Source organism: Homo sapiens, chromosome 2, assembly GCF_000001405.40.
Source record: "Homo sapiens chromosome 2, GRCh38.p14 Primary Assembly".
NCBI classification, from domain to species: domain Eukaryota; kingdom Metazoa; phylum Chordata; class Mammalia; order Primates; family Hominidae; genus Homo; species Homo sapiens.
Genome location: NC_000002.12, coordinates 233236780 through 233243579, shown reverse-complemented (window position 1 = coordinate 233243579; position 6800 = coordinate 233236780). Strand labels below are relative to the sequence as shown.

At 46.9% G+C, this 6800-nt stretch overlaps 1 annotated feature.

The window, feature by feature from the left end:
* Nucleotides 591-785: a silencer, noted in NCBI's record as "fragment chr2:234151441-234151635 (GRCh37/hg19 assembly coordinates)". NCBI's record gives its function as "represses an EF-1alpha promoter that drives an FKBP-Casp9 reporter gene in an ReSE screen in K562 erythroleukemia cells {active_cell/tissue: K562}" and the evidence as "EXISTENCE:reporter gene assay evidence [ECO:0000049][PMID:32094911]".

The window sequence follows — 6800 nt, the reverse complement described above, 5'->3', positions numbered from 1 at the left end:
CTATTCTCCCCACCAGGACTTGAGCCAACACAGTCCCGCAGGTCACTTAAGCTAGTTTACACTGAGCTATTATCTTCACTCGCCACCCAAGACTAATACAAGCAGGCAAGCCTAAGAAAAGACCAGGGCTGCGCAGACAAAATGACAGTCACTAAGTCAAGCTTTTCCACTTTAAGATATTGACAAGGGGGAGTCAACCGGCTGCTCTGCCCTCCATGCAGTTTTTGTGTTTACCAGCAATCCATGTCCAAGCTTCTTGGGAAAAGTTTCTGGATCTGAGATCTCATGAACTTCTGAGTAAGTTAAGCTCTGCTCTAAATAATAGTATCTGCAGGTGGGAGAAATTTCGAATTAAAAAAATCATAACCCCCAAAAAAATCATAGCCCCCCCCCAAAAAATCATAACTCCAAAATTACAATTAGAAATATTAGAATAGGCAGGGCATGGTGGCTCATGCTTGTAATCCCAGCATTTTGGGAGGCCGGGGCAGGCGATCACTTGAGGTCAGGAGTTCAAGACCAGCGTGGCCAACATGGCGAAACCCTGTCTCTACTAAAAATACAAAAATTAGCTGGGCATGGTGGTGGGTGCCTGTAATCCCAGCTACTTGGGAGGCTGAGGCAGGAGAATTGCTTGAACCCGGGAGGCGGAGGTTGCAGTGAGCCGATATTGCACCACTGCACTCCAGCCTGGGTGACAGAGCAAGACTCTGTCTAAAAAAAATAAATAAATAAAAAATTAGAATAAACCTAGAATATTAGAAAATACTGCTGTTGTCATAGAACTATTTCCTCTTTTCCCCCTAAACAGAAAGTGAAGGGACACCATTTCAAAACGCACTGTTCCAATGACTCACGAGATATGAATAGCTCTGCAGCATATCTAACCACTACTGCGTTCTCGTACAGCAGAACCAGACAGTATGCAGCAGTGGAATCTGATTTTGATTCAATCAATAAATAAATATCGTATGCCATGAGATATGGGTCTTTGCTTTAGTATCAAGTTGACATTTTGTCTTTATAAGGGCCAAAAATGGGAACACCGATTTGTCTAACTTTCTAACTTGCTCTGCAAATCTGAACGCCCAGGCACTTTGCCTTTGAGAGGCTGGTCCCCAAATCAGGAGAAGCCACCCAGGGACACAGCTTCCTGCAGAGATGGGGCTCCAGGACTGGCACCTCTGCGTGGCACGTGACATTCCACGCACTCCGGCTTTTTGTCTCCGAGCCTCTTCTTTTCAATAAGGAAATATTTCGATCCCAAAGTGCACACTGGACCTCAGTTTCTATGAAGCTTCCCCACAGCTAAAATTTCCTCAGAAATCCTTGCATATCTCCCTTCATTTTGTCAAATTGTCTGCATGGATAAATGGCTTCTCCAAACACCAGGGAGACCCCAGAGCATGGGGTTCTCCTGGAAGTGTGGGACAGTCCAGTCCAGGGCAGAACGGTCTAGCCTGTGAAGCACAGGAAGGACCTTGGAAAATGTTCAGTTGTCCTTTGCTTCAGGCTTAAGAGATCTGGCCCAGCCCTTACAGAGTCCACATTGAGGTGGAGATTCAGGAGTGGCTTCCATGGTCTTTTCAACTTACCCCTGAGCTTTCCCTAGGGCCTGGATCTGCCCAGACCATGGAGGTACATTCCTTAATCACACCCTGGTGGGCGGAGTAGGCCACACCCTCTCCCTTACACAGTCTCTCCCTCCCCACCTGTTTTATTTTCTTTTCTTCTTTTTCTTTTTTTTTTGAGATAGTTTCGTTCTGTCACCCAGGCTGGAGTGCAGTGGCATGACCTTGGCTCACTGCAACCTCCACCTTCCGGGTTCAAGTGATTCTTATGCCTCAGCCTCCTGAGTAGCTAGGATTACAGGCGTGTGCCACCATGCCCGGATGATTTTTTTTTTTTTTTAATCTGTAGTAGACACAGGGTTTTGCCATGTTGACCAGGGTGTTCTTGAACTCCTGGCCTCAAGTGATCTACTTGCCTTGGCCTCCCAAAATGCTGGGATTACAGGCATGAGCCGCCACGCTTGGCCTTCTTTACTTCTTCTTCTTCTTTTTTTTTTTTTTAAGACAGAGTTTTGCTCTTGTTGCCCAGGCTGGAGTGCAATGGCATGATCTCAGCTCACTGCAACCTCTGCCTCCTGGGTTCAAGTGATTCTCCTGCCTCAGCCTCCCAAGTAGCTGGGATTACAGGCATGCGCCACCATGCCCGGCTAATTTTGTATTTTTAGTAGAGACAGGGTTTCTCCATGTTGGTCAGGCTGGTCTTGAACTCCTGAGCTCAGGTGATCTGCCTGCCTCGGTCTCCCAAAGTGCTGGGATTACAGGTATGAGCTACCATGCCCAGACTTCTTTACTTCTTTTTATCTCTCTTCCCTCAAGGTCCCATCTCCTTGGTGACCAACATGATCCCCACCCCGATTAAGGTTTCTCAGTTAAAGGTGTGTGTATTGGAGGCAAGAGGAAGTGACCTTTGTGGTTTGGTCAGGAAGTGGGGTACTGGGGAAGTATCTAAAAGGCAATAAGCACTTTGATTCTTGCTAGTGACTCTCCTTTGCCTTATTAAGCTGTAAGAATATTTTTCTCCTTACAAGTCTTGACTTCTCTTACAGAAGCCCAGCACCCACCTCACACCCATTACCTTAATCTTAAAAGTTACCATCTTTTAAGCTTAAGGTAAACTCATCCTCTCACTCAAGCAAGAATTAAATTAAGTTACAATCTGCAGATTTGCGAACCTGAGCATCAGTGGATAATTATAATGATAATTTACAGTGGGGATTAGAGGGACAAGCAGCCTTAAGTCAGCATCTTGTGTCAGCAGTATTTACTCCTTGACATTTTAAACCAGGGATCAGCGAAATATGGCCCGCAGGCCAAATTCAGACAGCCATCTACTGTACAGCCCTCTGTGCATAGGAGAGCTAAGGGGTGGCTGAGGTGGGATCATTTGAGCCCAGGAGCTTGAGGCTGCAGTGAGTTGTGATAACACCACTGCACTCCAGCCTGAGTGATATATATATCTATATATATATAGATACATATCTATCTATATATATATGATATATCTCTATATATATCATACATATCTATATATCTATATATATCATATATATGCACATATATATCACTCATATATATGTACACACATATATATTACTCATATATATCATATATGTATGTGTGTATATATATGAGTGATATATATGTATATATATACACACACATATATGTATGTATGTGTATATATGTATACACATACACACACATATATATAGAGAGAGAGAGACGTGGTCTTGGCTTATTTCAGATAACAGAGAGTCCCAAAGTAGGGTGGGCTTCAGGGTTGGCTGTGGATGGGCTACACTGTGGCATCCAGGGCCCTGGGTCTTTCCACCTGTCTGCTCTGCCCTTCTTAGGGATGGTGTCATCCTCAGGCTGATGGAAAATGCCCAGGGCAGCTCCAGAAAACTTATTCAAATCCGAGCATGACCTGAGGAAGAAGACTCTCTCTTAGGAATGTGAAAACTTCCCCAGAAGCCCAGCAGACATCCCCCTTATATCTCATTGACCAAAACAGGGTCACATGCTCATTCTTGGCAAGGGGAAGGCATCACCTTTAGACCCATCTTGTTCACCCTCAGGCTGGAGGGTGAGGCTGGCTGCCCCAGAGGCCTGTGGCTGAGTGGGAAAGGGGTATCCATGGTAGTTCCTCTCCAAAGCTCCCCTTACTCCCAGTCTGCCACACCATGCCTCCTGGTAATCCCTGGACTGAGTCTGGGCTGCTTCTATGTAACTAATAAAATGCGGAGGAAGCGTCTTTGCACAAGGTTCAAAACTGGGTTACAAGAAGCCTTGCAGCTCCTTCTCAGTCTCTTGGAATGCTTGCTCTGTGATAAACCAGCCAGCATCTACAGAGCCCGACTGCAGGGAGGCCACCATGCTGTGAGGAAGCCCAAGATAGTCATGTGGAGAGGCTGTGTGGAGAGCCAGCAAGTGAGTGAGAGAGAGAGAGAGAGCAAGAAGAGAGAGAAAGACACACACACACACACACACACACACACACACACACACACGACACGGGATGGGGGGAGGGAGAGAAAGAGAGAGAGTTACCGAGATACCGAGATACTGAGCCAGTTTCCACTGTTCTGGACTCGTGAATGAAGAGGCCACCCGGGATGTCCAGCTCAGTGGAGGCTTCTGATGACCCCAGCCCCAGCTGCCATCTGACTGCAACCACATGAGAAACCCCAAGCAAGAACCACCCTTCTGAGCCCAGTCAGCCACGGAATTGTGAGACAGGATAATGAATTGTTGTTTTCAGTTTTGGGGATGGTTCGTGATGCAGCAATAGATAACCAGAATAATATCTAAAGGAAACTGGGTCTCTCTCAGGAAGGAAGAAGCAGGAAATGGCTGCTGGGTAGGCTATCAATGGTGTGTCCCCTTTACCCTGTTGGGAGTGTGCACAGAACACCACGTTATCCTCAGAAGACATCTGATGAGCGTAGAGCCAAAGCAAGGCAAATGTCTGCAGGTGGGATCACTTTACATTGTCACAGTGGGATCCATTTTCCCCACCATATGAAGGAAACTAGTTATTGTCAGAAGAGACCATTGGGATGAAAAGTGTGTATCTTCGAAACCACTAAAGAAAAACTCACACTTTGGGAGGCCGAGGCGGGTGGATCATGAGGTCAGGAGATCAAGACCATCCTGGCTAACAAGGTGAAACCCTGTCTCTACTAAAAATACAAAAAATTAGCCGGGCGCGGTGGCGGGCGCCTGTAGTCCCAGCTACTCGGGAGGCTGAGGCAGGAGAATGGCGTGAACCCGGGAAGCGAAGCTTGCAGTGAGCCGAGATTGCACCACTGCAGTCCGCAGTCCGGCCTGGGCGACAGAGCGAGACTCCGTCTCAAAAAAAAAAAAAAGAAAAAAAGAAAGAAAAACTCAGTCTGTACCTTCTATAATAATAATTAGTAATGCCAGTAACAGCAGGTAACATTTATTGAATGTATACAGTGTGTGAGGCTAAATGCTTTACAATTGTTCTCTTCTCAGTTTTCACAACAGCATAGTCGTGTTGGTGCTATTGCTGGCTCTACTTCACAAAGACAATGTAGCCTGGGTTCTGGGTTCAAATTCTGATGCTAGCACTTATCACCTCTGATATCTTAGGCAAGTTGCTTAAACTCTGTGCCCCAGGATTAAATGAATTAATACTGACAACGGTGTCTTGCACACAGTAAGTGCTTTATAGGTATGGCCATTATTATTATTTCAGAGGAAGAAAGTGAGGCTCAGGGAGACAGGTAACTTGTCCAGGTGCACATGATGGGTAAGAGGTAGGCAGATTCCAACCCAGCCTGTGGACTCCATAGCCTGCAAGCTTACCAATCTGTGCCTTCCTTCTCCTGCCTCATAAAAAAGAGCCTGTGTGTTGACCTTGAACTTGTATCTCTCAGATCTCCTGCTGGGGGAAATACAATCACCTGACAGCCCTTGATGCTGTGCTCTAAATCCACCACCACATTCAAGCTGTGTCCACATTTCTTACCACTGCTCCCAACCAATGACGAAGCACAGCAGGGCTGCTAAGGCAGAATGACTCCTGTGACACGTGGGACTCCTCTGATGAACTTTGCCTCAAGGATGCTGCTATGGACCGAATGTTTGTGCCCCTGCCCCAAATTCATATCTTGAAGCCATAATCCCCAGTGTGATGGTATTTGGAAGTGGGACCTTTGGGAGGTGCTTAGGTCACAAGGGAAGAGCCCCCATGAATGGGATCAGCACCCATTCATGAGGTGAGGACCTTATAAAAGAGGCCCCAGAGAGCTGCCTTGCTCCTCCTACCATGTGAGGACACAGTGAGAAGTCTACTATCTGCAAACCAGGAAGAAGGTTCTCACCAGATACTGGATCTGCCAGCACCTTGACCTTGGACTTCCCAGGCTCCAGAACTGTGGAAAATACATTTCTGTTGTTTATAAGCCACCCAGTATATGGTATCTTATTATAGTAGACTGAACTGACTTAGACAGATGTCTATCAACCCTGCCCAAACTTTGTTAGAATGTGCGGCAGGCTGAGAGTCTTCCTACCTCACCTTCCTTCCCTCTCTCCTTCACCAGGGTCAGACCTGCATCATGGCCTGACAGCTCTCCCAGCCTCCTCCTGTAATCTCCCCATCTTCCTGCACAGACACTTCCTTCAATAAATCTCTCATGTCTAACCCTGCCCTAGAACGTACTTCTCTGAGAACCAGAGAGGTTTGGATGAAACCCAAGTAATAGAAGAAAGTGGGAATGAAAGGAGCTGCCACCAACACTGCTGTTGATGTTTTGGAGGTCCTGACCCTTGCCAAGTCCACTTGTCTTTCTCTCTAATCAAGTCATGTGCCTGGGTGGCTGTGTTTCTATCCCATGACTGAAGCTTTCCGGCCAAGAACTTTTTGGACCAGCCGTGGACACCTAACTGGGCCTAAATCCTCTCTTAAGGGAGAGTGAGGAGCCGGGCCTCTGGGTCTGGAGCAGTCAAGGGCTGAGTCAGCACCATGGCAAGACAAAGCCAAGGAGAACCAGGAATAGGCAGAGGACGCTGGGCAGAGAAAGAAACAGGTGAGCAGAAGGAAACGTCCAGAGAGGACCAGGGCCCAGAGAAGAGCCACCCTCTGCCTGACAACCTTGTTCCCAGCTCCATGTGGCTGAGGCCTGGCTAGCTAGACTCTTCATCAGTGCTCCTTTTTTTTTTTTTTTTTTTTTTTTTTTGAGGCAGAGTCTTGCTCTGTCG